The sequence below is a fragment of the Homo sapiens genome, chromosome 4 (genome assembly GCF_000001405.40).
Source record: "Homo sapiens chromosome 4, GRCh38.p14 Primary Assembly".
NCBI classification, from domain to species: Eukaryota; Metazoa; Chordata; class Mammalia; order Primates; family Hominidae; genus Homo; species Homo sapiens.
Window position 1 is genome coordinate 14,985,780 of NC_000004.12, and position 26,165 is coordinate 15,011,944.

Below are 26,165 nucleotides of genomic sequence, written 5' to 3' on the forward strand. Positions count from 1 at the left end.
AGCTATTATGAAGTGTGAAATGGAATGGCACCTATGTGGCACTTAGAACAATGCCTGAAACCTAGAAAATAAGGGGATGATCCAGTCAGTACTTCTTTAAGTGGCTACCTTTTGAGTATAGTGGAGCTTTGAGGATTCCAAAGAATGGATAAGATCTAGCTCATACTCATCTTTGGAGATCTCACAAACTTGTGAAGAGTGGACACTCAGGTAAACAAGTGCTGTGACAGAGATAAAATGAGGCAAAGTACAAGGTACAAATTCATCCCTAACTCCCTCCTCTGCCCTTTGCCCTTATTCTGTTTCCCTGCTTTCCCTAGGTAAGTTTGCCTGATAATCCCATACACTTTCATGGCCTCAGCTATCAACTGCACACCAACAAAAACCAAGATCCATAGACCAAAACCCTACTCTTACTCTCTGATATCTCCACTCAGCTTACTCTTTCCCGCCACTCCTGAACCTGCACCTCTTTTAACTAACCCGTCAAACCTAATAATTGGCCAAACTATGACAATTACATCAGAGAAACATGCCCACTCCTCAACCCCTGTACACATCTACTATATTCACCTTAACTATTGCAGCCACCTCCTAAGTATCTCAGTGCCTCCAGTTTCAATCTCCTTATCTGCAACCCATTCCCCATTCAGCCACCTGAGGGGGTTCTAAATATTTCTGTTAACAACACTCCCTCTAAGAAAAGTTTTGGTAGCTTGCCTTTGCTTGCGGAACAGTGTTGTCTTGGGCCTGCAGCACTCTTAACATACGTCTGAGGCTCCTTTCCGCTCTTATCCTCACTTCCCAGATCTCAACACAAAGAACACTCAGTGTCCTTTTCCAGATGGCATCTGCACCTTCCATTACTCTCCACTTTTGCTCTTACTGGTTATGCTCTCTCAAATGCCCCACCTGCCACCTATCCATCCACTCATCTTCTCCCTTATCCTTCAATGTACAGCTCAAATGTCACCAACTGCACATCATTTGCTCTGCTTAATAAATTCCTCAAGACTTACTGTTCTTTCACATGGATTTGCATATAACATGTAGGTTGAACCATATGAGTTACCAGTTTTTGGTAGGCCAAAATGGTCAATAACTGCACTTTCCAGTACTTGAACTTATAACATGATATGGTCCTCTTACAGCATTTATCCTGCTTCATCAGAACTCTTTCTTTAAGTATATTGCCCATGTACCTTGTCGTCTTCACCTTTCCATGCCCAGTGCCTTGCAGAGTGCCAGGCAAGAAGTAGATGCTCCAGGAAAGTGTGTAGAATTCAAGGTAATTGCTGTGTATGGATCTTAACACTTTGTTGAGCTCTCTTAAGTCTAGGTCCTAATCTTACTCTCATTATCTAGGGACTGCCAAAGGTAAACGTAGCCATCCAGGGCTGTCTGGAAGAGAGTCAGGATTGTAGGTATCCCTTTCCTTTCCCCATTTACATCAAGACCCAGCTCTCTACCTACTAACTAATTACCTAACCTAGGTAGGAAAACATCAGCCTCCTGGGTTGTCCTTTCTTTAGGCAGCAAGTATGTAATTTGCAATACCATTCAGGGCACTTAACACATTAATTCACTCATTCAATCACGGGGCTGTGATTGGTACTAGGAATATAGTAGTAACTAAGGCAACTAGAGACTATGAGTTTGGAGGGTTTTAATCTATTCTTCAAACTTTTTCCCTTAAGAATTACCTAAAGAAACTGAATATTTTCCAAAACATAGCTTGCATATTTGAACACTTTTAAATGTCTTATACATACATTTTAAGTCCTCTAAAAATATTATAAGTTGAAATAATTGTTGCAAAGGATGTAATTTCAGTATATATTTTATTTTGTCACTTTAAATTACTATTATTTTTAATGTATTTAATGAAATCTGAATATCATAACAATCTGATACCCATGACTATCTTTTTTTAATGAGAAAGATGTTTTAATTTAAAAATTTTAGATTTTTTTCTCTTTGAACTCATATTTGCATTATACTTTGCCCTTGAATTTTATACATTTATAAAAAATCAAAACTGTGGTCCTTCATATTTAGATCAATTTATGGAACATGTGTACTACATATATTGGCAAACCAGTAAGCCAAATTGAACTTTCCCTCCAGAAAAATCCTGCCTCTATTTTTCAATTCAAACAAATGTGTTAATTTGCATTGCAAAAAATATTATTAAAACATTGAGGCTGGGTGCGATGGCTCACACCTGTAATTCCAACACTTTGGGAGGCCGAGGCAGGCATATCACTTGAGGTCAGGAGTTTGAGACAAGCCTGACCAACATGGCAAAACCTTGTCTCCGTTAAAAATACAAAAATTAGCTGGGCGTGGTGTTGGGCGCCTGTAATCCCAGCTACGCAGGATGCTGAGGCAGGAGAATTGCTTGAACTCAGGAGGCGGAGGTTGCAGTGAGCCAAGATCACACCACTGCCCTCCAGCCTGGGCAACAGAGCAAGACTCCATCTCACAAACAAAAAACAACAAAACCCACAGAACACTGAGAAATATGTTACAAAATGAATCCTATAAGACAGATTATGAAAGGACGTCAAACTTAATATAGATCTAATACAAGTAATGCATCTCATCAATTATAAAAGGAATATAAATTAATATGATAATCCTTATCAGCTAATTTTTAATAAAGCAATGAATGTACAATTTATCAAATAATGACTATATCATTCCTCTAATAAAAATGCGTATCCCTCTCCAGTCAAAAGACAGAGAATGCAGAATGAAGCAAACACAATTCAATCATAAGCCATCTACAATAGACACACTAGATTCAAAGATATAAGTAAGTCCAAAGTGAAAAGATAGAAAATTGTATACCATACAAACAGTATCCAAAAGAGAAGTGGAGTGGCTATACTAGTATCAGACAAAAGGGCTTTAAGACAAGATTTGTTACTAGAGTCAAAAAAAGACATAGTGATAAAAGGGTCAATTCATCAGGAAGACAAACAATAAAAACATAAATGCACCTAACAACAGAACCTCCTAAAACATGAATTCAAATACATAAGTTGAAAGGAGAAATAGACATTTAACAATAATAATTGGAAACATCAATAACCTGCTTCCAATAATGGCTGAAGACTTGAACAACACTATAAACTAACTAGATGTAACATATCTGTAGAAAACTCTAAAAATAGCAGAGCATACATTCTTCTCAAGTATGCAGTGAAAATTCTCCGTGATAAAGCGTATGTTAAAAGGCCATAAAAAGAAACCTCAATAAATTTAAAGACTGTTAAATCACACAAAGGATGTTCTTTGACCATCACGGAATAGATTTAAAAGTCACAATAACAAATACATTTGGAAAACACAAATATGTAAAAAGTAATCTAAACACTTTTAAATAACAAATGGTTTTAAAATGTACAAGGCAAATTAGAAAATTATTTGAGATTAATGAGATCAAAAATACAACATACCAAAACTTATTAGGTGCAGCTTAAGCAGCAATCAGAGAGAAATTTGTAGCTGTAATGCTTATTATGAAAAGAAGGAAGAGCTCAAATTAATAATCTAAACTTCTATCTTTCAAAACTACCAAAGAAGAATAAACTAAAACCAAAGCAAGCAGAATAAATAACATTATAAATATTAAAGCACAAATAAACGAAATAGATAACAAATAGCGAACATCAATGAAATCAAAAGTTACTTATTTAAAAAAATCAATAAAATTAATGAACACTTAGTGAGGCTGAACAAGAAAAGAGGAATCAAAATATTAAAATCAGGAATAAAAAAGGGGACCTCAGCATCAACCTCATAGAAATAAAAAGGATTAGAAGAGAACATTACAGACAGGATGCAGTGGCTCACATCTATAATTCCAGCACTTTGGGAGGCCAAGGCAGGAGGATCACTTGAAGCCAGGAATTTGAGACCAGCCCAGCAACAAATTAATTTAAAAAAAAAATAAGTAAATAATAACTTTTTAAAAAAGAGAATGCCATTAACAATTGTATATCAACAAATTAGAAAGCCTAGATAAAATAAACAAATTCCCAAACACCAACAACTCATACTAAAATAAGAAGAAATGAAAAGTCTGAATAGACTTATAACAAACACAAATTGAATTAACAATTTTTAAACTTTCCACAAGGAAAGTCTAGGCCCAAATGGCTTTACTCGTCAATTCTACCACAAACTTAAAGAAGAATTAATATCAATACTTCACACACTCTTAACAAAAAAATTACAAGAATACTTCCCAACTCATTCTATGAGACTAGTATTAGTTACTCTAATACCAAAAACAGCACAAGAAAAAAAACACCACAAGCTGATAACCCCCATAAACATACATGCCAATATTCTCAACAAATTACTTGCAATCCAAATCCAATAACATATAAAAAGGATTATACACCATAACCAAATGAAATGTATCCCAGGAATACAAGGTTGGCTTAAAATATGAAAATCAACCAATTTAATATACTAAATACACTAAACCATAAAACTACAATCATCTTAATAGATGGAGAAAAGCAGTAAAGTGGTGATAACTTGTATATCAATTGCATGGTGAAATAATAATAATTTGCATATATTGATTTAAATAAAATACATTACTCAAGTTAATTTCACTTGTATCTTTTTAATTTTTAAAATGTGGCTAGTGCACACCTTAATTCCAGCAGTTTGGGAGGCCAAAGCAGGAAGCTAGCTTGAGTACAGGAGTTGGAGACCAGCCTGGGCAACACAGCAAGACTTCATCTCTACAAAAACTTTTTTTTAAAAATTAGTTATGCATTGCAGTGTACGTCTGTAGTCCTAGCTACTTGGGAAGCTGAGGTGGGAGGCTGCAATGAGCTATGATCACACCACTGCACTCTAGCTTGGGCAACTGAGCCACACCCTGTCTGTAAAAAATAAAATGTGGCTACTAGAAAAGTTCACATTACATATATAGCTCACATTTATGGCTTGTGTTGTATTTCTATTGGACCACAATGGTCTAGGCATATCCTAGTTTGAAGATCAGTGCTCTAACAGCATTTGGTGTTTTCAAACATATTTCTCTATGTTATTTATCAGATGAGAAATCAGAGAATGAGGATGGTTAACATGCCCAGGTAAACATAACCTTCCCCATAGGTGTCAGAACTGGTAGTGGGATTCAGTAATATCCTTAAAGTCAGAGTTTGCCCTAATTGCATAACTGGTCTCTGGTCTTTCTTAGAGGTACAAAATAGTCATTGAATATGTTTAACATTTAAGTTTCAGAAATTTTTTATGTTTTCCAGATCCAAGAGGAATTTAGCTTTTTTTTTTTCTCATTTTTTATTTGGATATCTCCTTCCACTGCTAGCAATCAAGGATTTCACTGCCATTACCAACCTCCATGTTGTCTGGTAACTGTTTTGCTTTGCTTTTGCTTTGGTTATCCATTCTCCAGGACTACCACTGTGTTCAGGCTGGCTTTCTCATCTACTCTTTACCTTGAACTGCATAGCAGATAACAGCTAAGATGTTTTTTCTGTTTGTTTAAACATCTATTTTGTGTCAAACACTGTAGAAGACTCTCTACTTAAAATATTGCTAATTATCATCACCATAGCCCCCGCTTCACAGGTAATGTTTGTCTTTACCTCCACAGATGAGAATACTGAGGTTCCCAAAGTTTAACTGCCAAAGTTACATAGTAACAGAGGAAGTCGGACTAAAAGCCACGTCTCTGACTCCATAGCCCTGGTGTGTCCATCATATCACTCTTCCCTATCTCTTAATATGGGATGAATATGCATCAACTGTGGGCCTACAAACAATGGTATTTTCATATACACGATTCATGTCCTTATGAAAATCTTAGAGTTTCTTATTCTCTGTACCAGTTTGTCTATTTTTTTCTATTGAAAATTGAGGTCTATGTTTTTTCTTATTGTTATGAATTACGTACTCCAATGTTAGTACAATGGCTTACACTATAAATGAATTTTGGATGTGAGATGACATAAAGTCCTATAGTCCTTTCTCAAGTCCCACAAAAAAAAGGAGACAGCAAAAGTGAATTGCTAGCACTGACAATGAAGCACTAAGACTAAAATCAAATATCCCTCTTCCCTCTGAATGTTTTTCCTCTCTTGTCTTTACATTTAATCAATCCTTGTACAAAGGCTGGTGATAATGCCTGCTACCATATAAGCTTCATGATATTTCTTTTTAACTGCACGTTTAGAGTTTTGAAAACAAACATTTAAAATGTTGAATCTTCTAAGATTCTAAACATATTAAGGTCAAATTTGATAGATGCAATGCTCTTCATCTACTTAAAGTCTACATATTTAATATTTAGTCAAGATGCATCACTTTTCTCTGCCTAGAATAATTTATCAATTGAAGTGGTTAGCTTACCACAATGTGGAAAAATACAATATATCCAATATATACTGCCAGACCTCATTCTTACTACAGGAGAAAAATGAGTAAGCATATGTGAGGAATATCTCTGATTTTCTGTGGGATATGTTATTTTGAAAATAAGATGCTTTTTCTCTGAGGTCTCTACTACCAATTTTCATTCATGTAGCTAGGTGTCACTGTGAAGACTTGAAGGATTATCCCTTCCACTCCTTAACTTTTAGTAGAAGCAGGGACTGTTGCTTTAAAAAAAAAAAAGTTTTATTTTTTGACATTATAATTGTATATTATTATTGCATACAGTGATGTTATATGTATACAGAGTTGAATGATTGAATCAAGCTAGTTAACATATCAATCAGCTTAAATACTTATCATTTTAAATCTAACTGCAACTTTCTACCCTTTGACCAACATTCCCTGTTCTCCCAGCCCCTGGCCTCGATAACCACCATTCTATTCCCAGCTTCCATGAATTTGATTGTGTTAGATTCCACATATAAGTGAGAACATTCAGTTTTTACCTTTCCATGCCTGGCTTATTTCACTTATATAATATCCTCCAGGTTCATCCATGTTGTTGCAGTTAGCCAGATTTCCTTCTTTTTAAAGGCTGAATAGTATTCCACTGTGTATATATGCTACATTTGCTTCATCCATTCATCTGTTGGTGAACACTTAGGTTGTTTCCGTGTCTTCGCTACTGCGACTAATGCTACAGTGAACACAAGAGTGCAGACGTCGCTTCGACATACTGGTTTCAAGTCCTCAGGATATATATACCCAAGCACCGTTTTTAAGCGTGTGTCCCTGTGACCCTGTTTTACTCAGGTACTTGCTGAGCAGTGGCCCACTCTTTGTCTTTGCTTCTAGCACTAGCCTGAGGGCCAACTAATGAAGCAAGAGACTGAGAAATGAGGAGATGGGGGCATTAATCTCAGTCTATGCAAACCATCTCAAGCAAACGACTTTACCTCTGGGCTTTGGTTTTCCAACAACAAAACAAAAATATTATTCGCTTTATCTACTCACAAAGTATATTGTGACAAGAAAAGGAAATAATAGAAGTCCCATTTCAAGCCAGGATTGAGATGAGCTTCAGTGTGTAATTTTTTCTGCCTTCTTGCTAGATTTGCCTTACCTCAATATTCTGTATAGATCACAAGGCTCCACCGATGACCAGCCCGGCAAGGTCATATTGCAGCAAGTAGGATTCCAATTTAGTAGGTCAGTTTCAGCCTACAGTCTCACTGTTTATGACTCTGCCCAGATAATTAGGGTTGGGAATTATCATAACTAATGTCAACAGTATTTATTTACAGCCTCTGTGAGGATGTACAGAATAATGGATATATTTTCTGTTCTTTTCACAGTTATACCCATAGTGCCTTGCACAGTGTCTGGTACAGAGCAGGCACTCAACAGAGAGTTTCTGAATACATAAATCAATCAATAAGAACTAGGAAAATTAAAGAACATATAAGGCATAGCAACTGCCTACAAAGACTTGTAATTCAATCGAGTTCACATGGCCTTAAAGATACAAGATAAGTAGCAATAGAGAAGTCAGTCAGTCTACGTAAGGGCCCAGTGAGCATCGTGGCAGAAATTACTGGAGAGGCTGACAGGTTCTCTCCTAGGTGGGGGTATTGGAGTGGGATGATAAATCCCCTGGATGCCACAAAGGGTAACACAGACCTTCTATTATGTTTCGGGGCTACACTTTGTCATCAGGGGAAGATTCTTGATATTTTTCTTTGTCAATGAGTTCATCTTTGTATGGCATAATAACCAGAATAGAGATCGTAATAACCAGAGTGAAACTTTTAGTTTGGTATTGTCAAGGAAAAAATATTGGGAAGGAAAATAACTTTTTTGTCATTGTTATTATGATTATTCATTTTATTTTTTCTCCAGTAAACATAAGGTAACAATGCTACAGTTATCCACAAAATGGCTCATGTCTTTGTAAAGCATGCTTTGGAAACATCTACCTCTTTCCTTCCTTCCATCTCCCTCCTTCCTTTCCTTACCTTGTTTTCTCCTTTTCTTCATCTTTTCTTCTTACAGCATTCATTGGGCAATTACTAATCAACAAATACTTATTGGGCACTTGTGTTCCAGGAATGTGAAAGGCAAGGGAATGCGGAGATACATGAAGGAATTACATTTGAGTAACGTTTCTGCAGTATAATTGACAGAGCATGGTTGACAATTGTTTTTGGAGGGTGAGAGAGATGAAGGAAGAGGATGACTCATGTTTCAGCTTGAGAAACTGGTTGTGTGATGATGACGTCAGCCAAGACAAGAAGCAAAATAGGAGAAGCAGATTTTGGGGAAGATGTTGAATGCAGGTATAGACACATTGAATTGATGTGGCTGAAGGACACCCAGGTCAAACTGTTAAACAGGCAGTTGGAAATATGATTTTGACCATGAGGCTAAAGAGATGGATTTGGAAGACATTAGCATTTAGATGATGTTTGAAAACATGATAATAAATTCATCTAGAAAAAGTAGGTAGAAATATAGAAAAGGACCAGAAACATAAGCCTAAGGAACTCTCACACGTAAAGAATATGTAAGGAGAAAGTGAAGGAGGAAATTATGAAGGAAGGTTTAGAAAAGTAGGAGAACTAGAAGTAATTGAGGATGGTACTACTCTTGAGTGCCACATCAATAAAGCACCTTGAAGTTGGTCAAGGTCAGAATGAATCTTAATTTCTACTTTCTCCTTTTCCAACTCCAAACCAGAGCTAATTAGCTCCCATCTAAAGACTCAAAGCTTTCCCATTCTGTGGGGTTAATTACATTTATGGGCATGGGCTCTGCCACAGAAAGAAACCAGCAGCATGGAAGTAAGGCATCCAGTTGACCTTAACTGCAGTGCCTCCTGAACTGGTTCCATTTCTATGAGATGGGGTCTTGACTCCTCTCTTTGTTCAAGCTCCTGTAATGAACCCCTGTGTTCCTGGAGTCCCAACTCTAGTCTCCTGAGACAGAAGTTTTCCCCCTTGTACTCCAGGGTTATCTATTCCCCAGCGTTATAGTCTTGGGATGACTTACCTGTCTTCATGTACTTATCCTATATCTGACAATGCCTGGAATTATTTTTGGCTAGTTTAAGAATCCTAGGAGCATCTGCATGGTGTTTGGACAGCTCCTGAAAACAAATTAACCATTTATAAACAGACCCTTGTATTACTATTGTATTCTTTTAGCTATCATTTCCTAAAATTGCTATTTATTAATTCAACAACCCCTTTAATAAGTGCATGCAATTCCCAACTCTTGAAAGCCTACTATGTGCAAGGCATCGTTGTAAGTGCTGAGGATACAACAGTGAGCAAAACAGGCATGGACCTTTCCTCATGGGCTTGTGATCTCAGAGAGAGGACAGATAAACAGTTCAAGTACATAGTGGGTCAGATGGAAACACAAACACCTTATGAGGAATAAGAAGGCTGGGAAAGAGTGGCGGCGGGGGGTTGTCATTTTATTACAATGGTGGTCAGGGAAGACATCACTGAAAAATGACTTTTAGCAGAGACGTGAGAGAGACATGAAAAAAAATGATAAAAACATGATTAAGTGAGCCCTGTTGCTACTTAGGAGACAAGTATTCCAGGTGTGGGAATTGCGAGGGCAAAGGCCCTAAGGCTGAATTGGCCTGGGCTGTTACAGAAATAAGCATTCCACTGTAGGGAAGCTTTCAGAGGGGTTAGTGGTGGCAGGAGCGATTCTGAAGAACCTTTTGGTTATTAAAATGTTTTGACTTCTATTCTGAGAAAATGTAAGTATTTAGTCAGAGGAGTTGACATGACCTGTCTTCCACTTCAGAAGTATCATCCTGGCTGCTATGTTGGGAACAGACTGGAGAGGGGCAAGATCAGAAGCTGGAATACGAGTTAGTAGGTGAGAGCAACGATGTAGCCTGGTCCAGGCTGCTTGTGGTGAGAATGGGGTGAAGTGCTTGGATTCTGGATATATAGGCACTCCTCGCTTTATTGTGCTCTGCTATATTGTGCTTCTCAGATAATGGGTTTTTCACAAATTGAAGGTTGGTGGCAACCCTGCATCAAGCAAGTCTATCAGCACAATTTTCCCAACAGCATGGCTCAATTTGTATCTCTGTGTTACATTTTGGTAATTCTTGCGTTACTTAAAGCTTTGTCATTATTATTATATCTATTTTGGGGATCTGTGATCATAATATTTAATGTTACTAGTGTAACTGTTTTGGGACATCACAAACCACAACCATATAAGACAATAATTTAATCAATAAAGGCTTTGGGCTTCCCTATTCCCTGAGACAAAACAATATTGAAATTAGGCCAATTAATAACACTCTAACGACCTCTAAGTATTCAAGTGAAAGGAAGAGGTACATGTCTCTCACTTTAAATGAAAAGCTAGAAATAATTAGGCTTAGTGAGGAAGGTATGTGGAAAGCTGAAATAGGTTGAAAGCTAGGCCTCTTGCACCAAGTAGTTAGTCAAGTTCTGAATGCAAAGGAAAAGTTCTTGAAGGAAATTAAAAGTACTATTCCAGTGAACACGAGTGATAAGAAAGTGAAACAGCTTTATTGCTGATATAGAAAAAGTGTGAATGGTCTGGATAGAGAAAATTAAACCAGCCACAACATTCCCTTAAGCTGAAGCCTACTCCAGAGCAAGGCCCTAACTCTCTTCAATTCTGTGAAGGCTGAGAGAGGTGAGGAAGCTGCAGAAGAAAAAAGTTCAAAGCTCGCAGAGGTCGGTTCGTGTTTAAGGAAAGAAGCTGTCTTCGTAACATAAAAGTGCAAGGTAAAGCAGAAAGTGCTTATGGAGAAGCTGCAGCAAGTTATCTAGAAATCTAGCTAAGATAACTGATGAAGGTGGCTACACTAAATAAGTTTTCACGTAGAAAAAACAGCCTTCTATTGGAAGAAGGTATCATCTAGGACTTTCATAGCTGGAAAAGTCAATGCCTAGCTTCAAGCTTCAAAAGACAGACTCTTTTCTTAAGGGCTAATGTAGCTGGTGACCTTAACTTGAAGCCAATGCTCATTAATCATTCTGAAAATCCTAGGGCCCTTAAGAATCATGCTAAGTCTACTCTGCCTGTGCTTGGTAAATGGAACCACAAAACTTGGAAAGAGCATAGTTTACTGAACATTTTAAGTCCACTGTTGAGATCTACTGCTTAGAAAAGAAGATTGCTTTCAAAATATTACTGCTCATTGACTATATACCTGGTCACCCAAGAGTTCTGATGGAGATGTACAAGAAGATAATTGTTGTTCTCATACCTGCTAACCCAACTTCAATTCTGCAGCCCATGGATTCAGGAGTAATTATGAGTTTCAAGTATTATTATTATTATTTTTGAGACAAAATCTGGCTCTGGCTATAAGACTGGAGTTCAGTGGCACTATCTCGGCTCCCTGCAACTTCCGCCTCCCAGGTTCAAGCGATTCTCCTGCCTCAGCCTCCCAATTAGCTGAGATTACAGGCATGCGCCACCACACCCAGCTAATTTTTGTATTTTTAGAAGTGAATGGTTTTCACCATGTTGGCAAGGCTGGTCTTGAACTCCTGACCTCAAGTGACCTGCCCGCCTTGGCCTCCCAAAGTGCTGAGATTGTTTTGAAATAAAGCTGCTATTAAGCAATTCTTCTAATAATGCAACTAACTCCTCTTTATAATTCTATTTTCATTTTAAAATTTAAAATCACTAAGTTGTCACCAGGACAGCCTCAAGTATTATTTTAGAAATAAATTTCATAAGGCTATAGCTGCCATAGTGATTTCTCTGATGGATAAGGGCAAAGCAAATTGAAAACCTTCTGGAAGGGATTCACCATTCTAGCTGCCATTCAGAATATGTGTGACTCATGGGAGGTCAAAGTGTCAACATTAACTGGAGTTTGGAAGAAGCTGATTCCAACCCTCTTGGATGACTTCGAGGGGTTCAAGACTTCAGTGAAGGAAGTTACTGCAGATGTAGTAAAAATAGCAAGAGAACTAGAATTAGAAGTGGAGCCTGAGGATGTGACTGAATTGCTGCAATATTACAATAAAACTTGAATGGAGAAGGAGTTGCTGCTCATGGATAAGCAAAGAAAGTGGTTTCTTGAGACGGAATCTACTCCTCATGAAGATGCTATGAACACTGCTGAAATGACAAAAAAGATTTAGAATATTACATAAATTTAGATGATAAAGCATTAGCAGGTTTTGAGAGGACTGACTAATTTTGAAAGAAGTTCTGTGGACAAAATGCTATCAAACAGCATTGCATGGTACAGAGAAATCTTTCATGAAAGGGAGATTCAATTTATGTGACAAACTCTATCTTTGTCTTAAGAAATTGCCACAACCACCTCCGCCTTCAGCCACCACCATGCTGATCAGTCAGCAGCCATGAATGTCGAGACAAGACTCTCCACTGACAAAAAGATTATGACTTACTGAAGGCTCAGATGATCATTAGCACTTTTTAGCAGTATTTTTAAATTAATGTGTGTATATTTTTCAGAATAATGCTACTGTGCACTTATTTAAATGTAATTACAAGTTATGTTTAGACTATAATTGAGAACTTATGTTTAGAGTATAATATACTGTAAACATAACTTTTACATGCACTGGGAAACCAAAAAATTGGTGTGACTTGCTTTATTGGGATATTTGCTTTATTGTGGTAATCTGGAACAAAACCCACGGTATCTCTAGGTTATGCCAGTAATTTAAAGGTAGGACAAGCAACATGTTCTGATGGCTTGGATATGATGCAAGAAGGACAGAAGTGGATTGAAGTGAAGAATGACTCCAGGGTTTTTGGCCTGAGCAACCAGAACAATGGAGCGCCACAGGGATTGGGCCTAGTGAGGCAGGGAGTTTAATTTTTGACGTGTTTAATTTGAGGTATCTATGAGACACTCAGTCAAATGGGCAAGTCGTTCAGGCAATGTAAAAGCAGAAAAAGAAGGCAGTAGCTAAAGGAGGGAGAATATAAGGTCAAAAGGTTTTGGCTTTACTTTTCAAAGGTGAGAACTAGTAAAGCAAGTTTTTGTGCACATGGAAGTGTTTCCTGGAGAGGAAAGAGGTCATGATGAAGGACAGAGAGAGAAAACTGTTGGAGCCCATGTCTTGAGTAGGTTAGAGGTAGGATCTGCTCCGCCAGTGGAGAGGCTGGCCTTAGACAGGAGTATGGGCAGATGGGCCATCCATTGTATCGAGAGGGAAGGCAAGGTGTGCAGGGACAGATGCAGGGAGACTGTGGAAGTTTTCCTGTGGTTGCTTCTTTTTTCTCAGTGAAATAAGCATGTAGCTCAGCAGCTGAGAGTGCTACATGCTAGCAGATGCATGTAGGAGAGATGTGACAAGAGGTTTTCAGATTGAGCAGAATGTTTGAAATGGTCTAGGACAGTGGTTTTTCAGTTCATAATCTGATAGAGGGTGTTAAAACCAACTTTGTAATTTGAGATCAAACGTGATTTTAAAATGAAAATAGAATTATAAAAAGGAGTTTGTTGCATTATTAAAAGAATTGCTTAATAGCAGCTTTATTTCAGTTGCATGAGTGTGTACTTGCACATATATTGGGTTGTAGCAAAAATACTTTTAAAAATACTTGCCCAGGACAGTGGGAGTAAATGAATAAGGGACTGTCAAATACAAAGTCAAGGTCCTAGTTAATGATCATGAGTCAAAATATTTTCATGTAAAAAACCAAAAAAATCATTGAATGGACTCATAAGATCTTGGCATGGAAACTGCTAGAGGACCATAGTCCCTCCTCAGTATTTGCTGCTCCTTCTCCCTACCCCACTCCACTCTCCACCCTAGGAAACCTTTTCATTTGAATATTTTCAATAAGGGCAAGATCACCAGCTTACAAGATGTCAGAAAGTAACTTTCTGCTCTAAAAAAATGGGGCCCTCACAAAAGTAGTGAGTAGAGGCCCTGGCAGGATTTGGAATTTGGTGTATTTAATATGAAGTTTGACATTATTATGTAATAACAAACTTGATGGCTTTTCCCCGTTTCAGAGAGCTCTAAATCCTCTAAGACAAAACTAGTACCAGAGCACTAAGAAATCTTGTTTTTGTTCAAAACTCTAGCCCAGAAAGGCACCAGTTAGCTTTTAAAAGTATGTGCTCTCTCCTCTTTACTAACTGCGGTGTTAGTGGATAATTGAGCTAAGGTTTATACCTGTATTTTCCCCCTATTTCAAGATTTGTTGTTGGATCTGCAAATGATTCCAATCAAATACAACTGTACTTGGAAAAAAATCATCCGTTGTTAAGACTTTACATTCCTTAGTTGCAGAAGTAGTTTTTTTTCCTGCACAATACCTTTTAAAAAATGAATATTTAATATGTCAATATATACTCTGAAAATAACCATTTATATTTTAAATTCTGAGCTCAGGTTATTTTCTAGACATTGTAATTTAGAATAAAAATACTTCTCCAGTTCTACATTTTGCCTGACTGTTAAAAATGATTTTGAGATTAATAAGTTGAACCAATTTTCTATTCACCTGACCAAATTCTGAACCATTTGAGTTTTTTAAAAAGTACTTTTTCCTTATTGTAAAGGCAACATAAAACTTGGTTCATTGGACAGGATAGCAGAGATAAACATTATACATGAAGTATAGTTCCCTGGGGCAATGTTGCTCTCTTTCTACCATGTTTATTTCGATTTATATAAATTTGAGACACTGAACAGAAGTAGAATTCAAATAGAGAATGAGGACTTATAAAAATGTACACTCTGCCTACATCAGTAAGAGTATGCTAATTTATAAAATTAAATATTTAATCTTAGTTCACTTGTAAACCAAAATCAAGTAAAGTCTGAATCCACCTTCTATTGCTTTGGGGGTTTGAGTCTATATTCTAGGATTCATTTAATAGTTTCATTTCTCTAAGCATCAAGCAAAACAGTTAAAATTACAAAACAGAAACATAAAGTTCACCTCATCATGTAGTATGGATCACTCTGTTATTCTTTATCTAGACCTTCAAATACTTTATGTAAAATGTTTCTATACAAAAGGAAACACAGGATTAGTTCCTCCTCTAATGCTTCTAAAGAGCTCTACCATGGAAAGCTCTCTCCCTTCCATTTTGCAAGTCTCAACAAGTCTGCTGCTGAGTCAGAACCTCCTTTTTTCCCTGATGTAAGAACTATTTCTCCCTTGAAAATTCATAAAGCTTAGGAATAAATTAGAGTCTCCCTGGGGGGAAGGGGCGGGGACGCCGGAATGAATGTGGTGGGGAGGAGTCCCACGCTGCAGCCCTGATGGCACACGAAAGGCTTTTATGAAGCGGAGCTGGCCCGGGGTTACTATGGGAGCTCGCCGTGGAACCCGTTCCACGCATCCGAGTGTGTAAATAACCACGCGGAGCGTGTTTGTTCCAGGGACTTTGTTCCTTCTTACCCAAGTGAAAATGCCTGGAATATAGCCGAGGCTTCATGTTTACCCTACAGAAACACCCTCGGCGGCTCTACGACGTCGGTGACAGCACTCCTACCAGCGCCTAAAAACAGAAACAAGCTTAGAGGGCGCTACCTAGGGCTACAAGGAGGCCCTAGATCGGGGACTCGGGGTCTAGAGGTGCGCGGCGAGGCGCTCAGCGGACTTCAAGCCGGCAGAGCCCAGACGCTAGTTCACCACAGGACCCCCGGGCTGGGCCGGGCTCCCGCGTTGCGCTGGGGGCCCCTCGGGCGCCTATTTCTACGCGGGTCGCACAGTGCAGGCGCCGGTCGGGGTCCCGGGCCTCAGTTTCCCCCGCGGGCCAGCCCCGCTCTGGGAAGCCCGAGTGGTGCAGCAGGGCTTCTCCCCACCCAGGGCGGAACCGAGGTGACAGGAAGGAGGAGGCACCGCGAGGGGCGGAGACGCGTGCGACCCAGGCAGACTCTGCGCGGATCCCGCGCCAAGGAGGGGCCGTTGCCCAGGAACCGTCCCTCCCTCCCGCGCGTGCTTGCCCTCGTGCGCGCGCCCGCCCAATGCTCCCGACCACTGTTTGCCAGCCGACCCCCACCCCAACCGGCCTGTCCATTTCCCCGGGAGCGGAGAGACCCAACGGGACACGCCGCTCGCTCCCGCCCTCCCGGGAGCGCGAGCGCGCCCTCGGCTGCGTCTGCATAGTAATGAGGGGCGGGGAGGGGCGACGGGGACGCGGTGGCCTCGCGCCCGCGCGTGCCGGGACGCACCGCGGGGGGCGGCGCGATTGTGAGGTGGCGCTGACGCACGTTCCGGGGTTCTTAAGCGGCCAGGGCGGCTACGGCGACTGCGACGGCGGCGGCGGCGGCGATCGCCGCGAGGGGTGGTGGGGCCGAAGTCGGTGCCCCCTGGCTCAGTCACGGTGTCCCTCTCTCACTGACTCCCCCTCCTTCCACCACGGCCGCGCAACCCCAGCGCCGGCGGCTTCCTAGGTGGGGCAGGGGACGAGGAGCGTCTCCTCCCGCTGCCGGCGGCCTGATAAATGAGGGATTTCGGGTTTGGGGTGCTGCAGACCGCCCCGCTCCGAAGTAGCAGTCCTGGGCCCCTGTTCTGCGGCGAGGCGTATGGTCCTTACGCCGTGGGGTCCGTCAACCCGCTGCCCTCCGCCACGCCCTTCGGCCCACTGTCGCCACCACCGTTGCCTGTCACCGGCTTCTTAGAGGCCGCCTCCCCCTTCTCCGTCCCCCTCGGCGGCGGCGCGGGCAGCCCGGCCGCCGCCGCTTCCTCTTCCTCCCCGTTCCTGGCGCATCAGCAGACCATGCAGGATGAGCTGCTTCTGGGGCTGACACAGCAGCCGGCGCGGCCGCTTTCGGGGGCGGCGGCCACGGAGAAACTCCCCGACCACCACCCCGGCGGCGGCACGATCGCGGGTGTGACCCACCTCCTCCCCTCCCAGGACTTCAAACCGAGTCTGCACCACCCCTCCTCCTCCTCCGCCTCCTCCTGCTGCTGCTGCCGCACCTCCTCCCCGCAGGACTTCAGTAAGCGGCAGCAGCAGCAGCTGAGCAGCCAGAAGAGGAAAGAGTTCAGCCCTCCCCACCTTCCCCACCCTCCGGACTCGAAGCCGCCGCCGCCGCCTCCGCCGCTCCACTGCCCCGGTCGGTTCAGCCCGCCGCCGCCGCCAGCCGGCCCGCTCCTCCAGCCGGCGCAGCTCGCTCAGCGCCAGCAGCAACAGCCGCCGCAGCAGTTCAGCCTCCTGCATCAGCAGCACCTCTCGCCGCAGGACTTCGCCCCGCGGCAGCGTCCGGCAGACCTGCCCCCGCTCCCGCAGCTCCCTCCCTCGCCGCCTGCAGCCCCGCGGCGCCGCCACGGAGGCGCGGGCAGCCCTCGCAAGACCCCAGCCGCGGGCGAGGGCAGCGCCGCCGAGTCCCCCAATGCGGGCTTGGCCTCCTCGACGCCGGTGAACCCCGCGCCGGGCTCCATGGAGTCCCCCAACCACCCTCTGCTCAACAGTCCCAGTAACCTCCTGCCCGGAGGTGCGCTTGGCGCGGGCGCCTTCAGCAGCCTGCAGAGCCCGGACCTTCCACACCCGGGCGGCGGCGGCGGCGGCGGGGGCGGGGGGCCCCCAGGAGGCGGAGGGGGAGGCGGCTCCGCGTCGCCGCCGCCGCTGCCCGGCTTCGGCACCCCCTGGTCGGTGCAGACCGCGTCGCCGCCACCCCAGCCCCAGCAGCCGCCGCCGACCCAGCCGCAGCAGCAGCCGCCGCCACCCCAGCAGCCGCCCCAGCCGCAGCCGCAGCCGCCCGGCTCGTCTGCCACCACCCCGGGCGGCGGCAGCGGCGGCTCGCTCAGCGCCATGCCGCCGCCCAGCCCCGACTCAGAGAACGGCTTCTACCCCGGGCTGCCGTCGTCCATGAACCCGGCCTTCTTCCCTAGCTTCTCGCCCGTGTCGCCGCACGGCTGCACTGGGCTCAGCGTTCCGACGAGCGGCGGCGGCGGCGGCGGCTTCGGCGGCCCCTTCTCGGCTACCGCTGTGCCCCCTCCGCCGCCGCCCGCCATGAATATACCTCAACAGCAGCCCCCGCCGCCCGCGGCGCCGCAGCAGCCGCAGAGCCGGAGGTCGCCCGTCAGCCCGCAGCTCCAGCAGCAGCACCAGGCGGCGGCCGCCGCCTTCCTGCAGCAGAGGAACTCCTATAACCACCACCAGGTACGGCGGGCGGCGGCCTGGCCGCGCCGCGGGACCGGGAGACCATGGGCGGGGGACGGAGGCGGGGGCAGGGCAGCCGGGGACCCGACCTTAGCCCCGAGAGAAGCCGCGACGGGGGCCACTCGCCCAAGTGAGAGTGGAACTGAGGGCGGACAACCGTGACAGGACTCGGAACCCCAGCCCCCGGTGGGTTGGGAGGGCAGTGGCCACCGTGGGCTGTGGGGGCGTGGGAGACGAGTTCGCGCTGGGAGCCGCGGCTGGCCGGGCGCCCCCTCGAACGTCCCGGCGCAGCAGTGGGGACTGGGGCAGGGGCCGAATAGCGCCGGGGCCGCGGGCGGCCGGGCGCGGCGTCTCAACCCGGCCCTCCTAGCTGGCGCACCCCGGGATCCGCCCTGTGCCCTGGGCCTGGAGGGCCGCCGCCCCGGACCCCCGACGCGGGGAGGCGCGGCGAGGACCGGGGGCTGGCCGGGGGCCTCGGAAGAGCGGCCGTGGGAAGTGAACTTGGGCAGGGGAAAAATGATTGCTGGAGAAGGTGCGTGCGGAGGAGCCCAAGACTCTGTCTCGCTGTCCAATGAGGGAAGGCGGAAAGGCTTTTTTTTTTCTTTGGAGTTTGTTTATTCTTATTTGGCCGGCGGTGATCTCGCCTTGAAGCCTCAGCCCCTCGGGCGGTCAGTCGAGCCGCTCCCAAAGCTCCGCCCGATCAACCTGCTGGCAGCGCCGCACCCTGGGCCGCCGGCCCAGGAGGGAGTCGGGAGGGAGCGGCCGACCGCCCTCCTCGCAGGACCTGGTTCCCGCGGGGCCGCCTCCTTGGCTGTCACAGGACTGGGAAAGAGAAACTGTTAGTGACCGCTCGGGTTCAAACCGAGATATCCCACGAATGTCTTAGTTTCTGTGCTTTTCAATGTTGGGGTCATGTTTTGTGGGTTTTAAGACAAAACTGAACTTGGATCTGGGATTGGTGTGTTTCCTCGTAGACTTTCGGTACATTTTTTGGTTGCCTTAACCTTCTACAAGGGAATATGTGGGCCGTGTGTATTTTAAGTAGGTAATATTGTGAAATGACACTGGGCAGAATTTTTATTTTCCGGATCTTTTTTGATTCAAGATCTTTTTTGTTATTCCCTCAATACAATTTTTGGGTGACCGCTAGATTGGTAAATTGGCATTGAAAGAGTGTCTTGTTGGTTTTGAATCTTGTTAGCATTTGTTGCAGAGTTCATTCTGTTTAAGTCCATTTTCTATTTTCGTGATTAAGGATTGACAGAGACGCAAAATATGACCTTAACCCCATAACTTTTTCAGTTGACCAAAGTTTTCAAGGATTAGTCTTTTTAAAGTGAATATTATCTAAATTAACCCAAGTGAAAGTTAACAGTTTATCTAAGTTAACCAAAGTGACAGTGAACAGTTTTTGTTGAATCACTGATTTCTTTCTTAGAAAAGAGAATGTGGCCTATGAGGATTGAAAATAGGGATTTTGAAATAATGTTCCACTTTTTCATGATTTTTATAACCCTCAGCAACTGTCTTTTGTGTCTCAGGATCTTCATTTTGTTATCTGGAAACTTGCCCACAGAAAATTATCTGTAGGTAATTTTGTATTTACTTAAAGTTGTGGTACAGAGCGTTGGAAGAACATATACCATGATCCATATTTAACTGTAATTTGCTTTTGGACAAAAGATGGGTCTAGCCATGGAGTGTGAGAGGTCACACAGCTTTCATATGGAATTTTAGATCACTGGAAGATAACTTTGAGCATTAAATCATTTAATAAGGAGAGTAAGGCCCTCAAGAATGAAGTGGTTTGTCCATGGCTCTGTAATTATGCTTTGGACCTCTGTGGAAGAGGAAAGAGTAATAATATACTCATGATTATGTTAGCATTTAAAAGTGTTTAAAAATTGGTGCTGTAGATCAGGAGTTTCTCTTTTAATTGTCTTACAAAAAGCAGGTTCAATTTTAAGAGAACCATATTTATTTGTAGTAACTGTATGGTTCATACTTCTTTAGCTACATCTTAACACCAAAGTATTAAAGTATAAACTTACTGACAGTAGAATTACCAGCAATGAATACTTCTTAAAAAAAAAAAAAACCCAAAACTACAATTATTAGCGTTTTGATGGATTTACCATTCTTTGATGATTTGACTTGTCTTGCCACAGGTTTGAGATTAGGATGTAATTTACTTTTGAAAATGAATCAACTTGATGGAGACTTGTATCAAGATCTCTAGTGGAATAATCAAAGCATATAGTTAATTAGCAGTATACCTCAGTGGATCCACCTATGGGCAACATCAGATAATTGCTTCACAGTTTATGGATAATTAAGTGAAATAAAAACAATTAAGACAAACTATGCTAAAACTGGAATAAAATGCCTTAACAGTTAAATAAACAATGCAGAAAAATGACATAGTTTCTATACTGTCCTTATTTCAAAAGGCGATTTTAATTTGTACAAGAGTAATTCCCACTTTTGTAGTAGTGCAACTTGTTTTGGAAACATAAAGTCTATATATTTCACTTGTATGAGTAGGATATTTTAATTAACAAAGACCATATTTTTAGTTGTGTGCCTAGCATAATTAATATGGTTGCTTTAAGATCACCATGTATGTTATATCTTTAAGAATCTTCAGAGTTAATTTCAATTTTTTTCTTCATATTTATCATGTATACAGTTATCTCTGAAGGATAAAAAGGAACTGCATGGTTCTATTTTAGTAACTGTCATAAAATATCATGATATTTATAGTATACAAGAAGATGAAAACTTGACCAGCATCAAATATGATTTCACATAGAAAGATCTCAAGACTGTTACTTTTATAACCTAGAAAAGATGTATTCTTTTGCCTTTATATATTTCATTCATATAAATTCTTAGGTCTGAAATTTGAATTTGAATTTGAATTGTAAATTCTTTAAATGCCGCAATTTAAATAGCTATGTTTTCCCTAGCCTCTTCTGAAACAGTCTCCCTGGAGCAACCATCAGAGCAGTGGCTGGGGCACTGGAAGTATGTCCTGGGGAGCAATGCATGGCAGAGATCATCGTAGAACCGGAAACATGGGAATCCCAGGAACTATGAATCAGATATCTCCATTGAAGAAACCGTTTTCTGGTAATGTCATAGCACCACCGAAATTTACTCGCTCAACTCCATCACTGACTCCAAAATCTTGGATTGAAGATAATGTGTTCAGAACAGACAACAATAGTAATACACTCTTACCCTTACAGGTAAGAATGGTATGTAAATGACCTTATCTCTAATGTTAATCTTTCAAAATAGGGAGTTGGGTGGTGGTGGTAGTGGTATGCTAAAATTAACATTTTTTGAAATAAAGTTTTAATTTTTAAGCATGTAATTTAATTAACAAAGGTTAAAATATCTATACAGAGAAAATTGAGAATGTAAAATAATTCTCTAAACACGCAATGGAAAATAAGCTTAGTAAAACGTAGAAAAACCTTTTGTATTTATTAAATACATACTGAAGCTTTCAATTAGCAGCTCTTTAAGAATGCTTTAATTTATAAATTCTAATGGGCCACCAAAATTTGTTTCTCCTTTAATATAGCTAAGCTAATATGTTCTGTAATTGTAACTGTTCTTAGAATTGACTATAATTGGCTGTATATATATTAGAATATACTTAGTACAGCTGTGATTGTGGCAAAATAATATTAGGGCTTTTTTGCATCTAATTTAAATTTATCTTCACTAATTCACCGATTATTTTTTCTAAATGTGGCCTAATACGTTGATTAGACTTTTTTTTTCTTTCAGTATTTTTATTATTTTCTTGAAGTTCCCTTATGGCTATTGCAAGTGAGGTTTTTGTTTTGTTTTGTTTTTTTCTTAAACCTTTAGAGGATGGAATGAGGATTTAAGATAGAGCTTTATTTTTTGTTTTCTTTCTTTCTTTCGTTGGGTGGGTATGGGGAAGACAACTGCTCATTTCTGATGAAAACTTCTATGCTATTGAAGGTGAGATCTAGTTTGCAGTTGCCAGCTTGGGGCTCAGATTCACTCCAAGATAGTTGGTGCACTGCAGCCGGAACATCCAGAATAGACCAGGTAGGCTGCACAGTGTATACTTTTTAGGATTTCGGTTAGGAGTTTAGTATTTATATTATGAGTAGGATTTATTATTTACTTTCTTATTATACCTATTGAAACATATGTTAGAGGACACTGAAGCAATTTATTTTTTAAGGATCACCTGCTTTGAACTATTTAATGTAAGAAATTTTTTATTTTCAAATTTAAGAGTAATCCTTTTATAATTCTAAAACATAATAAACTTTTTTTGGAAAAAGGAATTATATACACAAGAGCACCTGACTTTAAACATCAGTCAAACTAAGCAGATTGTATCTCTTTTCAGAATTAAATGCAATTAGGTACAAAATCATATGTTTACTTAACATCTAGCTTTATATTTGATGTTTCATAGAACTTTTCAGTAAATTTTTGTCATGAAGTCTGTATTTGTTTTGAGATATATTTCTAAAAAAGACTTCTCTTGGTTCAGTTTTTTCACCTTTATTAAAAAATATATAGCCTAGTATTCTAAATTTTGTTACTGCTTTTATACCCTGACTTATTCCAAATAATCAGTTTCCTATGGAGAAACCGTTAGTCAAAAAGCTGGGAGTTAGCCTTAATCAAATTACATTTACACCTTTGGTGGTTACAAAATGCTATCTTTCTTCCTGCAAACTGAATTTGAATGTATACTAGGTACCAGGTGGTGAGGATTATTATAGGTTATAGAAAACTCAGTCCTTATATATGCAGGTTCTTTCTTACAGAGCTCAAGTTTGAATGAGCATAGACTTAACGTTGTGTGTGTTATATGAATGGAGCTATGTTATTCTAAGTCTCTTCCTTGGTTAATTTATCAACATGAGATGATTTTACAAGTAAGGACATAAACAGATTAATAATACGTTTGTAAGTAACATTCTAATCTAGAAGGTTAGCATTAATTTTGATAATCAACCACTAACAATTGTTTTAGCCAAGTCCTGCCTGTTTTCCAAAGTAGTCCTGCCAGGGTCTTCACCTAGAAATGGTAGTTACTTCATGCAATTTGCAACGTATTGTCTTGTTAATATAAGTTAGCTATTTACCTCTACTCTCTTCTCTAGTCTGGTCCAGTTAAGCCTTATTAGTGACGTTTTTATGGTAGCATTTTTGTATTTAAATTCAATACATGAATGCCTAGGAGATGGTATGTTTAGGAGAAGAAAATTAATGTAATTATTTTGAAGGTGGCAAGAGAAATGTTTTCAAATAGAAGAGGACATAATTACTCTGTGCAGAAAGAAGCAATAGGATGGATACATATATAGGATACATATATAGGAGAAATAAGTATCCATGGAAAAGAATACAAATTAGCTGGCATACATGGTCCATGAGGCAGGGACAGATGTTGAGAAATCAGATTATTGAGTTGATTTCAGTTGGAGGGATGCTAGAGAGGAGATAGGGGTGATAATGAAAGGGAAGCTTTCACACCAGCCTCCGGGGCTGCCCTCCCACTTAGACTTCAATCAAAGCTATTCTGCTTTTACCTGTATTATAACCTAAGATTTTAGGGAAATTTATTTTAGGAAAAATGATTTTGGTGCTTAAAGATAAACTTATCTGGTAAACTGCTGAGATATTGGCATTCCCTTTGGACTTTTGAGCCAGAGGTGTGATGTGATGAAGTAAAACACAGTGGTGGGGGAAAAAAGAGATAATGGAAAGTGAATGGAACTGGAAGGAAAGAAGGCCTGAAACTTGGATCTTCTTCCTCTTCCTCATAATCTTTATGACATTGAATGACATAGTTTATAGGTTTTCATCTCTTTGGGTCACAGTTTCCTTATCTGTAAAAGGGGGACCTTGAACTGGGTCATTTAAGGCCTTTCCAGCCAGCTTTTAACACTTTCTCTGATCTGTTTTGGCCATTTCTTTTCCTCCATGCTGCCCCACCCCCCTTGCCTCTATTTTTAGAATACAAGCCTCTTGGTTTCTTTGAGCAAAGGGTCTTAGGCATTAGTCTAAGGCAGTGGAGGTAGTATGTGACCTTTCAACTGGACTTAAAAGCAGTGTCATTGTCTCCTCTAAGTACCCTAAGAGTACTTACACATAGTTTGTTGTGTGTTTCCATCTTTCCATAAAAGGTTGAAGTATTTGAAGTTGAGCCTCTTAAAAATACAGCAGCAGCTACAAAATGAAATTGATATCTTAAAATGTTGGGTAGTTTCTCATTCTTTGGCAAAATTAAAATTATAGAAGATTCTTAGTCACTTAAATGTCTGAGGAGATTATCTGCATTTCTGACCTTTTATCATCATATACAGTGTAATTCTAGTATATTTTTGTTAACAAGTACATTATTTTACAACATTTTACTTTTTATTTCCTTTAGTCTCAAACTGATTGGGGCCTAGAATATAATACAAAATTCTAGAACTGAAGTCTTAATTCTTATACTTGGATACCGCGGGCTTTACCTGTGTCAAGAGCTGAACACGTAATCGAATTCAATAAATAAGAAAGAGCTAGTTTTGTAGGTTGATTTTTATTTCTGTTAATATGTAAAATTTTGTGGGTTGGAATTTTATTTTAAATAAGATTTTTTAAAAATAGAAAACCCTCAAATTTAAAACTTTCTAAAAGCAAATATAAATTATTATAAACATTTCTGACTTTAAAATGAGTATTACATACATATCTCTATGAATTTCTTTTCTTTTTTTTTTTTTTTTTTTGAGACAGTTTCACTCTGTCACTCAGGCTGAAGTGCAGTGGCACGATCTCGTCTCACTGCAACCTCTGCCTCCCGGGTTCAAGCGATTCTCATGCCTCAGCCTCCCCAGTAGCTGTGATTACATGCATGCACCACCATACCCGCCTAATTTTTATATTATTAGCAGAGACAGGGTTTCACCATGTTGGCCAGGCTGGTCTCAAACTCCTGATCTCATGTAATCCGCCCGCCTCGGCCTCCAGAGTGCTGGGATTACAGGCTTGAGCCATCATGCCTGGCCAGTATATCTACATGAATTTGCTTAGGGTTATTAATTACTGTACTTTAAAATGTCATTAGCTAGTTACCCTTGCGAGAATCGTACTCAAAAGTTTGAATTCTAAATTATATTACAATGGAATTTGCAGCCAGATCCAGCAATGTGCACTACTTGGAAGGCTGAGGCAGGAGGATTGAATGCCTGAGCCCCAGAGTTGAGTCCAGCCTCGGCAACATAACAAGACACCACCCCCTCTTCCCAAAAAAATAGGAGTTTTCAGTTTAATGTTAAGGTTACGCTATATTTATTCATATGTTTTAAATCAAAGAGTAAATATCCTTTAAGTGAGGTTATTATTACTTACAAGTTTACATATGACATATCAGCTCACTGTAAACAAAGTAATGTCTTGGAACAGTAATTGAGTGTGTGAAGCATGTACGTGCATGTCCGCCTGCCTTCCACCTGGGGAATTATCAATATATCAACTCTCAATTTTTGCTCTTCCACAAGCTCTACTTGCAGTGCTTGAGCATGTCACATAATAAACTACCTTGAATTAATTG

The 26,165-nt window shown here is 41.3% G+C and overlaps 1 protein-coding gene and 2 long non-coding RNA genes across 14 annotated transcripts in view, besides 8 other annotated features; 1 reads left to right on the top strand and 2 right to left on the bottom strand.

The window, feature by feature from the left end:
* The window catches only part of CPEB2-DT (CPEB2 divergent transcript), a 92,085-nt gene extending 75,819 nt beyond the window's left edge, over window positions 1-16,266 (bottom strand). The window contains exons 1-6 of the long non-coding RNA NR_038857.1: window positions 16,159-16,266; window positions 15,847-15,946; window positions 15,382-15,450; window positions 9,475-9,571; window positions 6,933-7,123; window positions 4,675-4,775 (exon numbers count right to left, since the gene is read on the bottom strand). This is a non-coding gene — a long non-coding RNA (CPEB2 divergent transcript). The remainder of the gene's footprint in view (window positions 1-4,674; window positions 4,776-6,932; window positions 7,124-9,474; window positions 9,572-15,381; window positions 15,451-15,846; window positions 15,947-16,158) is intronic.
* Window positions 15,691-15,740: an enhancer, noted in NCBI's record as "active region_21335". NCBI's record gives its function as "activates an Ori minimal core promoter by ATAC-STARR-seq in GM12878 lymphoblastoid cells {active_cell/tissue: GM12878}" and the evidence as "EXISTENCE:reporter gene assay evidence [ECO:0000049][PMID:35858748]".
* Window positions 15,981-16,840: a silencer, noted in NCBI's record as "silent region_15291". NCBI's record gives its function as "represses an Ori minimal core promoter by ATAC-STARR-seq in GM12878 lymphoblastoid cells {active_cell/tissue: GM12878}" and the evidence as "EXISTENCE:reporter gene assay evidence [ECO:0000049][PMID:35858748]".
* Window positions 16,702-26,165, top strand: part of CPEB2 (cytoplasmic polyadenylation element binding protein 2) — a 67,671-nt gene continuing 58,207 nt past the window's right edge. For 3 of the 12 annotated variants that reach the window (XM_005248135.4, XM_011513777.4, XM_011513778.4), the window contains exons 1-3: window positions 16,702-18,556; window positions 21,526-21,816; window positions 22,559-22,648. In XM_005248135.4, the coding sequence (XP_005248192.2) occupies window positions 16,895-18,556; window positions 21,526-21,816; window positions 22,559-22,648 (2,043 nt within the window). In that variant the 5' untranslated portion in view covers window positions 16,702-16,894. Of the gene's footprint in view, window positions 18,557-18,718; window positions 18,743-19,065; window positions 19,089-21,525; window positions 21,817-22,558; window positions 22,649-26,165 lie in introns of those variants that run through there. The other 9 variants (NM_001177383.2, NM_182646.3, XM_011513779.3 and 6 more) reach the window with 5 other exon arrangements.
* Window positions 17,341-17,650: a silencer, noted in NCBI's record as "silent region_15292". NCBI's record gives its function as "represses an Ori minimal core promoter by ATAC-STARR-seq in GM12878 lymphoblastoid cells {active_cell/tissue: GM12878}" and the evidence as "EXISTENCE:reporter gene assay evidence [ECO:0000049][PMID:35858748]".
* Window positions 17,701-17,850: a silencer, noted in NCBI's record as "silent region_15293". NCBI's record gives its function as "represses an Ori minimal core promoter by ATAC-STARR-seq in GM12878 lymphoblastoid cells {active_cell/tissue: GM12878}" and the evidence as "EXISTENCE:reporter gene assay evidence [ECO:0000049][PMID:35858748]".
* Window positions 17,951-18,160: a silencer, noted in NCBI's record as "silent region_15294". NCBI's record gives its function as "represses an Ori minimal core promoter by ATAC-STARR-seq in GM12878 lymphoblastoid cells {active_cell/tissue: GM12878}" and the evidence as "EXISTENCE:reporter gene assay evidence [ECO:0000049][PMID:35858748]".
* Window positions 18,541-19,140: a silencer, noted in NCBI's record as "silent region_15295". NCBI's record gives its function as "represses an Ori minimal core promoter by ATAC-STARR-seq in GM12878 lymphoblastoid cells {active_cell/tissue: GM12878}" and the evidence as "EXISTENCE:reporter gene assay evidence [ECO:0000049][PMID:35858748]".
* Window positions 18,541-19,148: a biological region, named in NCBI's record as "H3K27ac hESC enhancer GRCh37_chr4:15005985-15006551".
* Window positions 18,582-19,148: an enhancer, noted in NCBI's record as "H3K27ac hESC enhancer chr4:15005985-15006551 (GRCh37/hg19 assembly coordinates)". NCBI's record gives its function as "activates a minimal SCP1, AML or CMV promoter by ChIP-STARR-seq in primed H9 embryonic stem cells {active_cell/tissue: H9 hESC(primed)}" and the evidence as "EXISTENCE:reporter gene assay evidence [ECO:0000049][PMID:30033119]".
* The window catches only part of C1QTNF7-AS1 (C1QTNF7 antisense RNA 1), a 422,973-nt gene continuing 415,970 nt past the window's right edge, over window positions 19,163-26,165 (bottom strand). Inside the window, exons 4-6 of the long non-coding RNA NR_125911.1 lie at window positions 24,714-24,793; window positions 20,692-20,791; window positions 19,163-19,378 (exon numbers count right to left, since the gene is read on the bottom strand). This is a non-coding gene — a long non-coding RNA (C1QTNF7 antisense RNA 1). The remainder of the gene's footprint in view (window positions 19,379-20,691; window positions 20,792-24,713; window positions 24,794-26,165) is intronic.